The 18,474-nt window shown below is 40.3% G+C and overlaps 1 long non-coding RNA gene across 3 annotated transcripts in view; it reads left to right on the top strand.

Annotated features, from left to right (window-relative positions):
• The window catches only part of LOC102724701 (uncharacterized), a 441,766-nt gene that overhangs the window by 22,076 nt on the left and 401,216 nt on the right, over positions 1-18,474 (top strand). The window contains exon 4 of one of the 3 annotated variants that reach the window (XR_001755116.2): positions 12,616-13,349. The exons of the other annotated variants lie outside the window; for them this stretch is intronic. This is a non-coding gene — a long non-coding RNA (uncharacterized LOC102724701). Of the gene's footprint in view, positions 1-12,615; positions 13,350-18,474 lie in introns of those variants that run through there. 3 annotated transcript variants of the gene reach the window in all.

Raw genomic sequence — 18,474 nt, 5'->3', positions numbered from 1 at the left:
GGATGCTATGATGAATATACCAGATATAGAGCAACTACCTACAGCAAAAATGTCACTGCTAGAAGAGCTCAAAACCATAAAGTATTTTGGAAAAAGCATAATTAATGTTGATTCTTTTTTCTGAACTATATATTTGTATAATTACATATCAATAACAATTTTTGAAACATCATGTTTTTGAAACAAAATTTAGAAAATCGCAATAGTGGCCTAGGCCAGGAATATATCTTCTAATGCTATCCCTCCCATAGTCCCCCACTTCCTGACAGGCTCCAGTGTGTGGTGTTCCCCTTCCTGTGTCCCTGTGTTCTCTTTGTTTAACTCCCAACTATGAGAGAGAACATGTGATGTTTGCTTTTCTACTCTTGTGTTAGTTTGCTGAGAATGGTGGTTTCCAGCTTCATCCATGTCCCTGCAAAGGACATGAACTCATCCTTTTTATGACTGCATTGTATTCCATGATGTATACATGCCACATTTTCTTTATTCATTCTACCACTGATGGGCATTTGGTTTGGTTCAAAGTTTTTGCTCTTGTGCACAGTGCCATAATAAACATATGTTTGCATGTGTCTAAGTAGTAGAATAATTTATAATCATTTGGTTATATACCCAGTAATGGGATTGCTGGATCAAATGGTATTTCTCATTGTAGATCCTTGAGGAATTGCCATACTGTCTTCCACAATGGTTGAACTAATTTACACTCTCACCAACAGTGTAAAAGTGTTCCTATTTCTCCACATCCTCTCCAGCATCTGTTGTTTCCTGATTTTTCCAATGATCACCATTCTAACTGGAGTGAGATGGTTTCTCACTGTGTTTTTGATTTGCATTTATCTAATGACCAGTGATGATGAGTTTTTTTTTCATATGTTTGTTGGCTGCATAAATGTCTTCTTTTCAGAAGTGTCTGTTCATGTCCTTTGCCCATTTTTGATATGGTTGTTTGTTTTTTTCTTGTAAATTTGCTTAAGTTTTTTGTAGATTCTGCATATTAGCCCATTGTCAGATGGATAGATTGCATAAATTTTCTCCTTTCTGTGGGTTGCCTGTTCACTCTGATGATAGTTTCTTTTGTTGTGAAGAAGCTCTTTACTTTAATTACATCTCGTTTGTCAATTTTGGCTTTTGTTGCCATTGTTTTTGCTGTTTTAGTCATGAAGTCTTTGCCCACGCCTATGTCCTGAATGGTAATGCCTTTGTTTTTTGGGGGGTTTTTATGGTTTTAAGTCTTACATTTAAGTCTTTAATCCATCTTCAGTTAATTTTTGTATAACTAGTAAGGAAGACGTCCAGTTTCATTTTTTTGCATATGGCTATCTAGTTTTCCCAACACCATTTATTAAATAAGGAATCCTTTCCCCATTACTTGTTTTTGTCAGGTTCATCAAAGATCAGATGGTTGTAGATGTTTGATGTTATTTCTGGGGCCTCTGTTCTGTTCCATTTGTCAATATATCTGTTTTGGTACCAGTACCATACTGTCTTGGTTACTGTGGCCTTTTAGTATAGTTTGAAGATAGCTAGTGTGATGCCTCCACTTTTGTTCTTTTTGCTTAGGATTGTCTTGTCTATGCAGGATCTTTTTTGATTCCATATGAAATTTAAAGTAGTTTTTTTTCTAATTATGTAAAGAAAGTCAATGGGAGCTTGATGGGGATAACACTGAATTTATAAATTACTTTGGGCAGTATGGCCATTTTCACAATATTGATTCTTCCTATCCATGAGCACGGATTGTTTTTCATTTGTTTGTGTCCTCTCTTATTTCCTTGAGCAGTGGTTTGTAGATCTCCTTGAAGAAGTCCTTCCCATCCCTTTTAAGTTGGATTCCTAGGTATTTTATTCTCTTTGTAACAATTGTGAATGAGAGTTCATGCATGATTTGGCTCTCTGTTTGTCTATTATTGTGTATAGGAATTCTTGTGATTTTTGAACACTGATTTTGTATACTGAGACTTTTTTGAAGTTGCATATTGGTTTAAGGAGATTTTGGGCTGAGACGATGGGGTTTTCTAAATATACAATCATGTCAGCTGCAAACAGAGACAACTTGAGTTCCTCTTCCTATTTGATTACGCTTTGTTTCTTTCTCTTGACTGATTGCCCTGGCCAGAACTTCCAATACTATATTGAATAGGAGTGATGAGAGAGGGTATTCTTGTTTTGTGCAGATTTTCAAAAGGAATGTTTCAAGTTTTTTCCCATTCAGTATATTGGCTGTGCGTTTGTCATAAATAGCTCTTAATATGTTGAGATAAGTTCCATCAATACATAATTCATTGAGAGTTTTTACCATGAAGAGGTGTTGAATTTTGCTGAAGGCCTTTTTTGCATCTATTGAGATAATCATGTGGTTTTTGTCATTAGTTCTGTTTATGTGATGGAATACATTTATTGATTTGCATATGTTGAACAAGCTTTGCATCCGAGGGATTAAGCTGACTAGATCGTGGTGGATAAGCTTTTTGATGTGCTGCTGGATTCGGTTTGCCAGTATTTTATTGAGGATTTTCGCATCGATATTCATCAGGGATACGGGCCTGAAATTTTCTTTTTCTGGTGTGTCTTTGCCAAGTTTTGGTTTCAGGATGATGCTGGATGCATAAAATGAGTTAAGGAGGAGTACCTCTTTTCTATTGTTTGAAATAGTTTCAGAAGGAATGGTACCAGCTCCTCTTTGTACCTTTGGTAGAATTCGGCTGTGAATCCTTCTGGTTCTGGACTTCTTTTGGTTGGTAGGCTATTAGTTACTGCCTCAATTTTAGAACTTGTTATTGGCATATTCAGGCATTCGACTTCTTACTGGTTTGGACTTGGGAGGGTATATGTGTCCAGGAATTTATCCATTTCGTCTAGATTTTCTAGTTAATTTGTAAAGAGTTTTTTATAATATTCTCTAATGGTAATTTTTATTTCTGTGGATCAATGGTTATATCCCCTTTATCATTTCCTATTGCATGTATTTGATTCTTCTCTTCTTCCTTATTACTCTGGCTAGCAGTTTATTTATTTCTTGATCTTTTCAAAAAAACAGCTCCTGGATTCGTTGATTTTTTGGACGGGCTTTTTGTGTGTCTATCTCCTTCAGTTCTGCTGTGATCTTAATTATTTCTTGTCTTCTGCTAGCTTTTGAATTTGTTTGCTCTTGCTTCCCTAGATTTTTAATTGTGATATTATGATGCCGATTTTAGACCTTTTCTGCTTTCTCTTGTGGGCATTTAGTGCCATAAATTTCCCTTTGCACACTACTTTAGCTGTGTCATATTTTAATTTTTAAGCCCTCAATCTTTCTTTTTCATCATGACAGTCTTGACTGTTTTATGTTTATGAAAACTGTAAAATTGTCTACACAGTTTTTACAAAGACTTTACCAAAATATTTTATTGAGAATGTACAAACCTGTCAGTCAATTAGGGGAGAAGTTGCATTGTAGTAATAAATAGCCACAAAACAAAACCCTGAAGGACATCCAAACCAGAATAAAACAAAACATTTTAACAAAGAGAAAAAGAACAATCTCGCAACAAATATGTGCAGTTTATATCACAAAGATGTTCACATCTCCACTTTAAAGAGAGCTTTTAGAAGTTGATTTAAAATATGGGAAAAGACATTATCCCACACCACAGAAAAAATAAATTTAAGCAGCTCTTAACACATGAACGTATTATCAAGCTCAGATGGAATCAAAATTAAATATTTGACAACAGATTCTACAGTTTGAGAGAAATAGAAAAGTGTTTTTTTCTTTTCTCCAGGTCCACAAGTCTAGTTTCTTGGACTCTCTCACTATAATGGAGGTTGTCATCAGCTCCCCAAAATAAGGGAAGCACAGAGCAGATGGTGGCTGAAGGTGGGGAATCCTGTGAAATCATATTTAAGATCATAGCCCGTGGTCCATTGTATTGTAATCAGCTGGCTCAGGAAAGAAGATCTGGATCTCCTGAGCTCTACACCTACTGCAATGGATATGTCAGGAGTCCCGAGAACCTCTGGGGCCCAAACCCCTCCCACCAAAATATATCATCCAGTATTGAGGACTCTGACACCAAATTCTCACAGAGCATATGCTTATGCAATTTTACATTTAATTTCTCATTACATTACAATTGGGAAAATGAGGCCCCAAAAGAGGCAGGGACTGATCCAGATCTCAGGAGGTGGGCAGGCTCCAGAGCATTAGAGAGAGCTCCAGCTTCCTAGGCCTTGGCTCCATCCCACCTATCAGGTTTGCTTTGGAAGTTAGAGCCTGTAGCTTCACATTCAGGGGCACAGAGAATGAGCAGATCCAGGGTTCTGTTCACATGGGGACCTCTCCATGTCAATTTCAAGATGACAGGACTGGGGTTTTGCATCCAGCTCTGAGGGCACCTGGAAGTAAAATGAGCTATGCTCCACCTCAGCCTAATGTAGAGAATGCCTGCAGGAAAGCCTGTTTTCTTCCTCATAAATAGGGCTGTTTGAACTGGGTGACCTCGACGATTTCACATACTCATAAGTGTCTTCCAGCCCTGATTCTTGCTCTGAGACTGTGCAGAAATGCATCCACTCTCTGTAGGTCCTTCAAATCAGAGGGAGGCATGGCCACTTCAGAGGCATCTTGGGTAGATGAAGATGAGACGGAGCTAAATGTTCCAGAGCATTGGACTCTGAGGCTGAAGTCCACGGAAAATCCCAGCTCCTGTTGGGTTCTTAAGGTCCTCATTTGAAAGTGGTAGAAACTAATTTCACTGGATAAGGGGAGGATATCTCATGGATAAATAGCACAACCCAAAAGGTAGAGGCAAATAGAAGGCAAAGGGGGATTCCAAGGTCACTCATTGTACTTGGGGCCTTCAGATTCTGCTACTTTATCCCCTAGGACCTTGAAGAACCAGTGTCTTGAGGACAGAAAAATCAAGATACCTGATTTGTTCCATAGTGCTCCTGCATTGGGCCATAGAGTTAGTGATGGCCTGGAGGTGGTTACAGCCAGCTCTGTTTCTGGTGCCCACTGAGCTTTGCTGGAGCAGCTGGAACAAGTAAGAGTCACACATCTCATGTTGTTATCAATGATCTCCACATTATCAGGTGGTCAAAAGAGGAAGGGATATTAGAGATCCTCCATATAATCACTTAGCCAGTCTTTTTTCCCTTGCGCTCACCCTTTGCCAGCTAACCAGGTGGGTGCAACGTGGTACAGAAAATTATTACATGATGCCTGCACCCCCCAACCCAGGACCAAACATTCTGAGGACAGCTGGATAAAAGCACTAAAGCAAGTATATGTGAAAGAAAAGAGGAAGGACTATAATATAAAGTGGAATGTTGAGAAGAAAAGCTGGAAAATTATTGCATGGGAGGAACTAAGGCCTCATTGTGGTGATGTTTAATCCATGATAAGGATGACAACAGGGAGACATCTCTGCACAAGTATGTGTCAGGGAGAAGCCACCCTTAGTGAAGAGACTCATAGGTGTGAGTTCGGCAGAGGTTAGAAAGTTTGGCTGCAGACAGCCTGAGGAAGATATAAGTAGAGGGATGGAGAATCCTAGGGCCTGGGAGATGAGGTTAGATATCTGCTCCTTTCTGACAACATTGCCCTAAAAGTCAGCACTTTTCAACAACATATAATATCTCATAATTTATGTGGACCAGAATCTGGACACAGTTCAGTTGGGTACCTCTGCCTTTAGGTCTTTTATGACATTGGGACTGTGGTCTTAACTGAAGCTGGACTGGGAAAGCATGAGCCTTTAAGCTGACTCATGTGAAAATTGGCAGGGTTTAGTGTGGCTGGAGAGCCTGACTTTCCTTCTCTCTACTGGTCTGAGCACCCCCTCAGGCTCTGTTATGTTGGTCTTTACATGGAGCATCTCATAGCATTGAAGCTTGCTTCCTGTGTTTGAGGTATACAATAGAGAGAGAGAATTAGACAAAAAGGTGTACACAAAAAGAGACAGAGAAAGATTGAGGGCGCAAACAGGAAAAACCCAGTAGGAGAAAAATGAGAGCTTTAGAAAAATCTTGACAGGGTGCGGTGGCTCACACCTGTAATCCCAACACTTTGGGATGCTGAGACGGGTGGATCACCTGAGGTCAGGGGTTTGAAAGCAGCCTGGACAATATGGTGAAACCACCGTCTCTTCTAAAAGTACAAAATGAGCAAGGTGTGGTGGTGCATGCCTGTAATCCCAGCTACTTGGGAGACTGACGCAGGGGAATCATTTGAACCTGGGAGGCGAAGGTTCCAGCAAGCCGAGATCACACCACTGCACTCCTGCCTGGGATACAAGAGTGAAACTGTCTCAAAAAAAAAAAAAAGGAAACAAAAATCTTGAGAGTTCCAATAATTTTTCTCCTGTATTTATGTTAAAATTGTAACCCCCGTTGTAATGCTATACGGATGAAAGATGTACTTAACTCCTGAGGGTGGGACCTTCATAATAGAGATTACTGGCTTTATACAAGGAACCGCAGAGGGCTCTCTTCCTCCTTCTGCAAAATGATGGTAAAACTTGAAGTCTGCAGTCTGAAATTCAGAAGCGAGTCATCACCAGAGCTCAACCGTGCTGACAACCTGATCTCAAATTTCGAACCTATAGAAGTATGAGAAATTAAGTCCTGTTGTCTATAAGCTGCTTATCTATGGTTCTTTGGCATAGCAGCCTGAACTAATACAAAAGTGATATCCTTTTCTGTATTTCATTGGACAGAAGCTGAATTTGTACCCCTATGCTGTTAAAAAAATGACTTAAAATGGATTTTCAGAATGAAAGATAGGAAATGGCTTGTTGAAACACTAAAATGTTATCTGCTTATAAGATTTTTAAACATTGGCTGAAATTGTTGGAACTGATATGGCCAAATGAAGTCCATGAAGAATCAGATTGCATATGTTAGAGCCCAAATTTCCATTGTGTGTTTCATACTAACTCTCCCTGAATTTGCATGTGACTTGAGAGGAAGCAAGAAGAGATGACAGTATATGTCTCATGACTTTCCATATTCCTACTTTCCTTCCAGCAATCCCTTACAGAACCCACCTCTTAGGCCTTTTCTAATCACTGCCTTAAAGCCAGTATAAGAAAACAAATTTCAGCTGGACTGCTATCTCCTTTTTGGCCAACCTACAACATGATATTTTCCTCAAAACCCAAGGGCCATATTACTGTCATCAGGCTGTAGGCCATTTTATTCAATAAAAAACTGAGTCACTAACCACCTAGTACTGTGAGATTTTGTGAAGAGTTTCCCTGTCATAGACGTGAGAAGGCACATGGATATGATTCTAAATATAAAGAGAAAGCACTAGAAAGTTGAATGGCTGTATTAGGACTTTGTCATACTGCAATGATGAAGTACTTGAGACTGGGTAATTGATAAAGAAAAGAAGTTTAATTGACTCACAGTTCCACATAATTGGGAGGGCACCTCAGAAACCTTCCAATTACAGTGGCTGACAAGTGAAGTGAGTGAGAGCATGGGATGTACCAGATGCTTATGAAACTATCAGATCTCATGAGAACTCACTATCACAAGAACAGCATGAGGAGAACCCGTCCCCATAATCCAATCATCTCCCCTCAGGTTTCTCCCTTAACACCTGGGGGTTACAATACACAGAGAAGTTTGGGTGGAACACACAGCTAAACTATATGAATGCCAGAGGACAGTATCTACATTTAATTTCAACTTCATACTGGAGCAGAATGAAAATGAAGCGCAGTGGAGAAGTGACATTCCCAAGATCACCCTGCCAGACCCAGGCTTGTTTGAGTTGTGGCCCATGCTACCTTCTACATATTCTCCTAATGCTTCCATCTCTAAGTGTGTGCATTATCTACAGGTAACACCACATGATTTTTATGTTTTATCTTATATACATCTAATACAATCCCTAGGAAGTAGATGTTAGCATCATCCCCACTGTGCATGCTTGGAGGCTGGGGAAGCCTCAAATACACAGTGACTTTTATTGGGTCCCAGAGATGGTAAGAAAAACAAGGTTATGTTCCAGCTGTCTCTTATATCCTGGAACCCAGGCTGCATTTAGTTCTTTCCAGGGAATTAAGGGGAAGTTGTGTTTGCATACTTGTGTACAAATGAAGAGTTGACATGGAAGAGGAGACTGAGCAATTAGTAGCATAGTGGGGCTTTTGGGTAGGTCTTACAGAAAGAAGGGACCCAGTAGATGGAACCTTGAAGAGTTTAACACACTTTCTTGGTGACAACCCAACATCAGTTAAGAAACCAGGAACCCACATTCTTGAGACAGCTCTGTATCCACCTCTGTTAGTGAGAGATGCTCAAGAGAGTGAGATGTTCTTTCATTGTGCCCTGAAATTTCTGAGTTTTGACTTTACAAAGGCTCAGTGTAAAAGCCTTATCTGAAAACACGGATGTCAACTCAGGCCTCATCATTGATGCCCCTGGCTATTGGCTGGGTGCACCTACAAATAACACAGGGCAGCTCAGGACAGGCCCCAGAGCCAGGCCTCTCTTGTCAACTCATCTGGGAAGTCCCACACCATTTCTTAGTACCATGAGTTGTATGGGGAGCAAGAGGGAGGGCACTCTTCTTTTACTGAAGCAGATTGTCAGGTGTTGGAACCCTTGTGTACCTGTCATGTTCATACCTAGGCCATAGCTGGCAGAATAAAAAGAAGAGGGTTGGAGAACGAGTCTGTGTACTCAGATGTGAATTCCAAGACTTTAACTTGTCCTCTGGTTTCCTTCCTTGCTGGAGATTCATACAGATTCTCCTTATGTGCCTAATCTGAAGAGCAGAATTTCTTTTCTTTTCTTTTCTCTTTTATTTTCTTTCTTTCTTTCTTTCTTTCTTTCTTTCTTTCTTTCTTTCTTTCTTTCTTTCTTTCTTCTTTCTTTCTTTCTTTCTTCTTTCTTTCTTTCTTTCTTCTTTCTTTCTTTCTCTTTCTTTCTTTCTTCTTTTTTTCTCTTTCTTTCTTTCTTTTTCTTTCTTTCTTCTTCCTTACTTCCTTCTGTCTTTCTTTCTCTCTTTTTCTTTTTCTTTTTTCCTTTTTGAGGAAGCCTCGCTCTGTCACCCAGGCTGGAGTGCAGAGAAAAGCAGAATTTCTAGTGGAGGTGTCACATACGGTGAAAACAAGGCAGACCACTGACTTTTCTTTGCGTGGTTTCTAGGCACTTTTTACAGAGCTGCATTCAGATTGATGAGGAGCTTCTTGATGTGGCCAACTCCTCCCTCTTTTTGGAAAAAGACCAGGTGCACTAAGCCAGCAACCACAGCCAGCACCGGGCTGTGGTAAGAGCAGCCACATAGGGGTCTCTACAGACAGAAACCCGAGAAGACCGGGACAGACCCAGTACCCAGACTCCAGTATGAAAACTCTCTGGGCTGTGTCCTATGATCTTCCCATGAGTAACTCATAGTCTTGATCCAGTGGAATCTGGCCTTCATTAGTCTCAGTGGCAAGTTGGTTATGTGGAAAGTCTCTGTTCACTCACTTGGGTGAATAACAGTAAAGACCTTTCTATTGTTTTCACTTTACATTAGGCCATGAGTATTTGTGCCTGTAGCTGCAGTTTGTGTTAGTTTCCTACCCCAGGTATCTCCTGCAGCATGCAGCTTCAGTCCTACCAGACCCTCAAAACTTAAAAGCGAACACTATTTCTAGGGAGGATTTTGCAGGAAAATGGAGAAAGGGTTACACACAAAAAAGGTTAAACTACTCTATGCATGTTTCTGCAATGTGTTATCTCAAGAATTCATCTCTGTAGCCCATCAGGGCAGGAGCTGGTCTCTCACCTGTTGATAATATTCCATAAGGGAGGTTCTTCCCCACAGTGTTTAGTCTTCCAACGCTGGTATAGCCTGACATGATGACATTCTACTTTCATGTTGGTCATGCTGCAGGGAGAATTCTGTGAGTGTCCTAATAGGCTGGAATCACTTGCTAAGGTGAACCCCATCTTTGGTGCTCACTTTTCTGTTATCTTATAATTAGCTTTATTCTAAGCAAATCCATGTCTATTTTATTTATCTGTTTATTAACTTATTTTTATGTATGGAAAAACACATTTTTTTATTTGCTTATTTATTTAGAGACAGGGTCTCCCTCTGTCATCCAGGCTGGAATACAGTGGTAGATTGGAGTGATCATGGCTCATTGCAGCCTCAAACTCTTGAGCTCAAATGATTCTCTCACCTCAGCCTCCTGTGCCACCATGCCCTGCTAGTTGATTTTAATTTGTTATAAAGAAAGTGTCTCATTATGCTGCCCAGGCTGGTCTCAAACTCCTGGGCCCAAGCAATTCTCTCATCTCAGCCTCCCAAAGCACTAGGATTAAAAACATGAGCCACTGTACTGCGCTGTGCCTACTTCAAAGGACTGAAAATAAAAAATAAATAAATCTTTGCCAAATTAAAAAACAAAGCAATAGTTTCCAGGTCTTAGATAAAGACAATTCTCTGTCATGAAGAATGACAGAAGGCTTATTTAGCTGTTAAAATGATTTGCTTATATTTCAAAGAAGCAGAGAAAAAAAGGTACATGTAAAAGTGTTCCAGGCCACTCATGGTGGTTCATGCCTGTAATCTGAACATTTGGGGAGGCCAAGGCATGAGGATACCTTCAAGCCAAATGTTTGAGTCCAGTACAGGCAATATGGTGAAATTCTGTCACTACAAAAAAATAAAATAAATATGGCTGGGCATGTTGGCTCACACCTGTAATCCCAGCACTTTGGGAGTCTGAGGCAGGTGGATAATGAGGTCAGGGGGTGGAGACCAGCCTGGCCAAAATGGTAAAACCCATTCTCTACTAAAAATAATAATAACAAAAAATTAGCCAGACATGGTGGTGTGCGCCTGTAATCCCAGCTACTCAAAAGGCTGAGACAGGAGAATTGCTTGAACCTGGGAGGTGGAGGTTGCATTGAGACAAGATCATGGCACTACACTCCAGCCTAGCCCACAGAGCAAGACACTGTCTTGAAAAAAAATAAAAACAAAAATAAATAAAGCTAGCCAGGCATGGTGGTTCATGCCTATAGTCCTAGGTAATTAAGCGGTTGATGCAGGAGGACTGCTCAAACCCAAGAGGTTAAGGTTACCGTGAGCTATGATTATGCCGTTGCACTTCAGGCTAAGTAAAAGAGTAAGATTCTGCCTCAAAAAATTACTAATTAAAGTTTTCCAGATTACATTGTTTAAGAAAAAGGAAAAGAAAAAAATCTTTTTTTTATTTTCAAATGGGAGAATAGAGCCTCTCATTTCTAATTTGTATTGCCTTCTGCAAAAACTTAGTCTAGGCCCATGGTCTTGAACTACTGGACATCTGAATTTTGGTAGGTGCTGGATTCAGGCAACTGAGGGGTGGCCTTGGGCACACTGTGTGCACATAAAAGAAAGGGTTTGAGGTGAACTAAAAGGTAAAAGAGGGGAAGGTGCTATTAAGAAACCAGAAGTGAGAGACTGTACAGGGTTGGTGGGAGGACTGGTTCATGCTACAGACACTGACCCAGGTGAAACTTTTCTCTGAGTTATTTCTATGTTCATGCAGGAAGACGAGATTATGATCAGGTGGCACAGAAATCTGCGATGGTGAAAAAACCAGGTTGCCACTGCAGATTCGGTGTCTGAAGTAGAACATATGCCAGGGGTCTTGTAGGCACGTGTGTGGGTTTTTGGTGGGAAAGTCTATGAGGAAAGGTAGGATGGGCAACAATCTTGATGCCAAAGCCTTGTCCTGAGAGGGGCTTGACCACGTCAACATGCAGTGTGTATGTTCAGTGGGTGAAAAACATGTGGTGGCTTCAAGTTGGCAGGAGGGTAGAAGGCATCTGTTCTCAGAACTTCTTCCCTCAGAGTCGTCGGTCCTTCTTACCATGGGAGGATGCCTGGAACCACAGGGCAGTGCATGGCGTAGCAGCCTGTGTGCAGAGCAGAGCCTACCTTCCCCGAGACACCTGGAGTCTCTCTCCAGCAAAGGCCCCCACATTGTCTTTCTCCTTACAACACTTTTGATCCTAAATGTGTAAAGTTCCCTGAAAACCCACTGCTTCTTCAACACCCATTTCTTGCCCCAAAATTTAATTCTGACACAACTTAGAGTTCGCACAGATCCCACAAATTCAGGGCTAAGTCCCACATCACCCCTCTCACTGCAGAGGTTAGTCACATGTCCCATAAGCCCATCTATACTTCTGAGCTACTGCCTATAAATCTGAGACTCCCATAAACCCCTTTTCAAGTTAAATAATTTGATAGAGTTACTCAAAAAAACTCAACAAATAAGTCTAATTATATTTACCACTTTATTATAAAAATACAACTCAGAAACTGACAAATGAAAGAGATGTCTAGGAAAAGGAACAGTTGTGGGTGAAGGTAATCCTGGAAATAGCTATATTTAAAGAAATTCCCCCATTCTTTGTGTTCTCAAAGAACAGCTTAGTGAAGAGAAACGTGCTTCCCATTATGACTTTGTGGATGTTCCCCCCCCCCCTTTTTTTTAACCTATCACAAAGACGGACACAGATTACAAATTCCTATTTTTAAAAATGAACAACCATTCTGTAATTTAGTCTTCAGTGGTCAAAACAGAGTACTTGTTAACAAAACTTTGCTTGTTCCCCTTCTTCCCTCAGCCCCTGAACTTTGACTCACCCACAGCCTCAGAGAACCTACAACCCATATTTATACATATCCCTCCTAAGAACAGGCTGACTTCAAGATGAAACATTATCTTATCTGGGATCTGATTTTGCTACCCTCCATCCTGTGCTTCCTTTCCAACCTTCTTTGTAAACTTATTTTCTCCTCCCTATGAAATAAAACCCTTTTCCACCTAACCTTTGAGATCCTCAAAGATCTAATCATTTGTACTTTTTCCTTGTTACAACACTTCTTAAGTAACTTCTTAGACAAAGTCTATAAACAGTCTCAGGACAATAACAACTCCATTCTAGAAAGAATATCCCAACTTTTCTTCAATCTCAACCCCAACTGCATCTGCCTGTCAACTTCCAGCTTACCAAAGCTCTGTATCTTCTGACAGTGACAAAGGCTCCTTCTATGGTTGGTGTGAGCAGACTTTGATGTCTGCAGGGCAGACACCCAGGAATAATCAACTGGGCCTTCAGTGGCCCCCTTTTGCAGGGTCAACGTTAGCCTTAGCTTTTAGTCAACGGTCTAAGACTTCTACTTACCAGTTAAAGTCATTCAATTAGTTTTCAATTTAAAAAATACTTCATGTTTGAAGAATCCAGCAAAAATCATTCAAATCTAAGGTTTAAAAGAGAGGAAATTATGGTCGGGCATGGTGGCTCATGCCTGTAATCCCTGCATTTTGGGAGGCTGAGGCGGGCAGATTACCTGAGGTCAGGAGTTCGAGACCAGCCTCACTAACATGAAGAAACACAGTCTCTACTAAAAATACAAACTTAAACGGGGGTGGTCGTGTATTCCTGTAATCCCAGTTACTTGGGAGGCCGAGGCAGGAGAATTGCTTGAACCCGGGAGGTGGAGGTTACAGTGAGCCAATATCGTGCCATTGCACTCCAGACTGGGCAACAAGAGTGACACTAAGTCTAAAAAATAAAATTAAAATTAAAAAAGAAAGTTATAAGGGGCTTACATTTTATAACTCAACAAGAAAAGCCAAAGTATCTATCCCTTTCAGAAAATAAACATGTAATTTAATTATGTTCATAACAAATCATTTAGTAAACAATCATATGTGAACACTTCCAGGCGGTGCCAAGTCCCAGCTCCTAAAACTTAGCGTTACCCTCAAACACCCAGATGACAGCATATGGAACAGAGATACTCACTATCAGAAGTTCTCTGTTTTGAAAAAAGAATAACTGATGTGATAAATTTATGTAATTTAACAATTAATCTACCTCACGTGCTTGTAGGTATGTATTCATTTCGTACCACCGTAGTGGAAGAGAGACTATCCCTATCAATACACCTGGTAACATTCCCAACAGTAAGTCGTGAGATTCTGCTTGAAATCACCTCTCAGACAAATAAAAAACAGTCCTGGGAAATGTACGACACTCATTCTGCTAAAGAAATAGGCAAGTAACAATTTTTAACAAGTGAAATATATTACTACTTAATTTTATTCAAAATTCACCAACTTAATGTGCTTTATAAATATTTTCATGCCTTTCAAGCTCTACTGATAAAACATAGTTTACAGTTAATTAAAAAGTGAAGTTAAAGTAAGTACAAAAACATTTTCAAGGTGACAAAATTAGAAGGTGACAGTGCCGATTGAAACACAGACATATCAGACCCAAGGGTCAAGTCAAGCCATTCTATTACTTGGGATATTTTCCCCACTCACATCTGGTTCAGTGAAGTGGGTCATGACCATCCTACCAGGAGTCGCTACCCTGTGCTCCTCTGTGTCCCTGAGGTGCATTTTACTTTGCAGGTTTTTGCACTGCCTCACTAGGTTGGGTTTCTTTGTCCTTTGAAATATTTTCTCTCCCTTCACCAATCTGAGAACATTTTTTCCTCAATATCAGCATCCATTTGCCTGGCCTGCAATGTGTCTCTAAGGAATGGAAACTAAGCTTTGGGGTAAGAAAATCTTAATGACCTAATGGGTTTGCTTTTAGCGCAAGGGTATACCTAGAGATTCCTTCCAGGCACATCTCAAACAACCACTCCACAGAGAGGCTGCATTCCCATACCTTGGGCTGTTCCCTGAGAGGAGATGACACAAGGGATGCTATTTACTAGACACTTCAAGAGTCATGGCCACTGTTGGCATCTTGGGGAATCCTCAAACAGTTTTGAAATTCAAAACCAAGAAAATAACAGGATGGCTGAGGATGTATTGCCCTGTGAAGTTTCCAAAATGAAACCTGAACCCAAAGGCTTTCTGATGGGGTGTCTGTGCCAAGAGAAGTTTAAACAAAGGGGCACAAAGGTTTTCCGCTTTTTATTTATTTTTTTTACAGTGGGGTGTCAGGGGATTATTCTCTGCTTTCATCTCCTGTAAAATGTTTACAAATGAGAAAAAATTTTTTTAAATGACATCCACTGCTTTTTGACAAAAAGAAGAATTGAAATACTGTGTCTGAAATGTACAATAAAGAACAGTTGATAATGTTGTGAATTATGGAAGGTTAGTTAGTGTTGGTGAGTGTCAGGAAAGAACTGGAAATTTAAAATCTGATTGCAAGCCAGAGTTAGGCTGGGGCAACAGGGAGTTAGATTTGAGTCTCTGCCTGCCACACATTTGGAAAATGCATGAGAAAACTAGTTCCCTTTTGGAGTGTTAAAATAACTAAAAAACAGGTGATTATGTTGAGGTGGCTCTAGTGTCCTGAGCTCTGAGTGGAGAGACAGGCCAAGGCCTCCGTACTTCCAAAAAGCTGCCCATTCTTCTCCAGCTGTGCACCTGATTAGATAGTTTCCACTCCAAGACCCATGATTGGATGTAGTTCAATTCCCTACCCTGCCGCCTCAGACCATGAGTGACATATGTGATTTGACACTGGGTTGAATAAAGCAAGAATTATAGGTTTTTCCTGGATCCTTTTCTGGCAGGGCTTCCTCTGTGAACTAGAAACTGGCCCTGCCTGTAAAATATTTGCATTTACATTTGTATGTAAGATTATTTGTATTAATGAATAATATATATGTGTTATTCATATATGGAATCAATATAATGACAATTGTTTTAAAATTTCAGATGTTTTACTTTCCTGGCACATCCAGGTTTTAGAGCAGGCAGCCTGAGATTTCAAAAGGGAGGCAATTCTCTAAGAAATAATATGAGAGGCACAAGTGAATTTTAAATATTCTGGTAACTACATTTTAATAAATATACCGGGCATGCTTCCCTGTGCCTGTAGGTCGAACTATTAGGGAGACTGAGGTGGGAGGATCACTTGAGACCAGGAGTTTGAGACCAGCCCAGGCAGCATAGAGAAAGCCATCTCTACAAAAAAAAAAAAAAAAAAAAAAAAAAAAAAAAATTTGAAAAATTAGCCAGGCCTGGTGGTGCATGACTTCAGTCCCAGCTACTCAGAAGGCTGGAGCTGGAGGATCACCTGAGCCTGGGAGGTCAAGGCTGCAATGAACCATGATCACACAACTGCACTCCAGCCTGGCTGACAGAGCAAAACCCTGTCTCAAAAAACTGATCTCTGGAAAGGCAATTTGTTTTTCTGCAATGTAGCCAAGCAGCTAAGTATGTATTGAAGCCATCCTTTAATTTTTAACAGGGCAAGAAAGCTTTCTAAGACCCCGAACTCCAGATATGCGATGGGGCAAATCCTGAAGCGTACATGGCTATCTCTCACAGCTAAAGCATCCCTCACCCCTATCCAGCGCTTCTTACCCCTGGCGCAAGAGAATCACCTGCGGGGAGGAAAACTTTCAAAATCCCTTAAACCCAAGTTGTAACCGCACAACTAAATCAGAATCCTTGGAGCTGGATCTGAAAAAAATATGGTTGAAAGTCGTGCAGGTGATTACAATGTGTAGGCAAGCCAGAAAACCATGGCTTTAACGAGCAGCTTTTGTTAGAAATGATTTCTCCAATGAATGTGAAAACGTTTGCTGCTGAATTGTGACCTTTCCATTTTACCTGCTTTTCCTGCAAAGTATATTTTGCAGACCCAGGCTGGCTTCTCCTTCTGTTCCTGGTTCACCCAGTGCCGTGTGTGCTCAGTGCATCCTGTGCACGGGTCACTGTGTGCCCTGGCCTGGGTGAGCATCATTCTTCGGGGAGAACCTTGATGAAAACAAAGCTGCATTCCAAAAAGTTAAAACCATGCTACTTACTGTGTTGAAGTAAAAATTAAAAGACCCAGGGGGGCTCACCCAAAAGTTAAAACATAAATAAATAACTTGGAACATTAACATACACCTGATGATGTCCTGAGTGAACACGCCCCACTTGAAAACAAAACAAAACATTGCTATTATTCTAAAATATTAATTTAGGATTGTTATGCAAACATGCACTCTTTACATTTTTATTGATAAATAACATGCATACAGCAATATAGGCACAAAGCATTTAGGGAATGTTTGATGAATTATTACTAAATAAATACACTTGTGTATCTAAGAATCAGATTTGTTCATGCCCCTGACACTTTCCCCTTCCCAAAGGTAACCAAGACCTTAAGAGCTAAGTGTAGATAAACTTTGTCATTTTGTACAAGTGTTTTATTACAGATCACTAAAAACATACACAATACAAAAAAAGTATAACAGACCAGTCACCCAGCTTTAACAGCTGCTAGTCATGTGTCATTTTTGTTTTATCTATACTTCCAGCCATGCCCCCACCCCCAATTTCATTATTTTTTAGGCTTTTTGGATAAAATGTATATTCATTGCAAGGTACAATGCGAACTGTAAATAGTAGAGAGATGGGGTTTTACCATGTTGGTCAGGCTGTTCTTGAACTCCTGACCTCAGGTGATCCACTCTCTTCCACCTCGCAAAGTGCTGGGATTACAGGCGTGAGCCAATATACTCGGCCTGAGAATTCATATTTCTAATAAAGTACAAATCCATAGGGCACATGACAACTGCAATGTCTATCTACAGTAAAAACAGTTTGATGAATAAAATGAAAGGCAATTGACTTAAGGTGGGAAAAAAACAATCAAAGCATGGGTACTATGTGCCATCTGTAGGAGCATTTGGTTAAGAATAACAAACAAACCAGTTTTATTGTTTTAATAACCGAAATTGGCAAAATTTCTAGTTTTTCTTTCATAGGAATGCTCTTAGCAAGAAAAAATTTTCATATGGTGAGAGCAAAAATGACAACCATTTGCAAGTAAATGTCTTATGAAATTAAGTAGCAGATATCAAGCTCATGACCTTCAGATTGTTACCCCTAACTCAATCATTTACATAGCAAGTGCAGATAATTTTCATAGTTCCCCATTAAAATTATACTTTACTCCCCTTACAAATTGTGACTGTTTTTAAATAAAGTTCACTAACTAAAATTTTGTATATGACATATGATAAATTTCCCTTCAAGTCACCTTATATTTACTTAATTGTGTTAGCCAGTGTCTGTCTACCTCCCAACAATACTTTGGGATTCTCCCTCCATTTGCACAGGCATCATAGCTGGGGAACAGGGATTCAAAAGACCCAGGCTGTTCCCTACATATGTTTCCTCCTCAGACATCAGTTAATCAGTCAATCAAGTCAAGTGAGAGTGGAGGCCATGTATTCCCTCTTATTCTTGGGCACTCTCCTCCAAGGAGGAAAAGGCCAGGAGGTCCTGTTAGAGGATGCACTCTGAGAGCCCGGGCTCCCTAAGGTATGAGAGTTCTAACCAGCAGGTGTAGACTTTTCAGGAGTGAGGAATGAGGCAGGCATTCCAAACCTGGAGCTTCATCACCTTTTGTTTCATCTCAAGACAATTCTGAGGGGCTGTTTTGGAGCGTGTCTGGAAGGTGAACGTTGAAGAAGAGTGTGGGCTTTGATGTGACTCAGATGAGATC

Source organism: Homo sapiens, chromosome 21 (genome assembly GCF_000001405.40).
Source record: "Homo sapiens chromosome 21, GRCh38.p14 Primary Assembly".
Taxonomy (NCBI): domain Eukaryota; kingdom Metazoa; phylum Chordata; class Mammalia; order Primates; family Hominidae; genus Homo; species Homo sapiens.
Note: the sequence above shows the minus strand (reverse complement) of the source record. Positions and strands in the feature narration are given on the sequence as shown.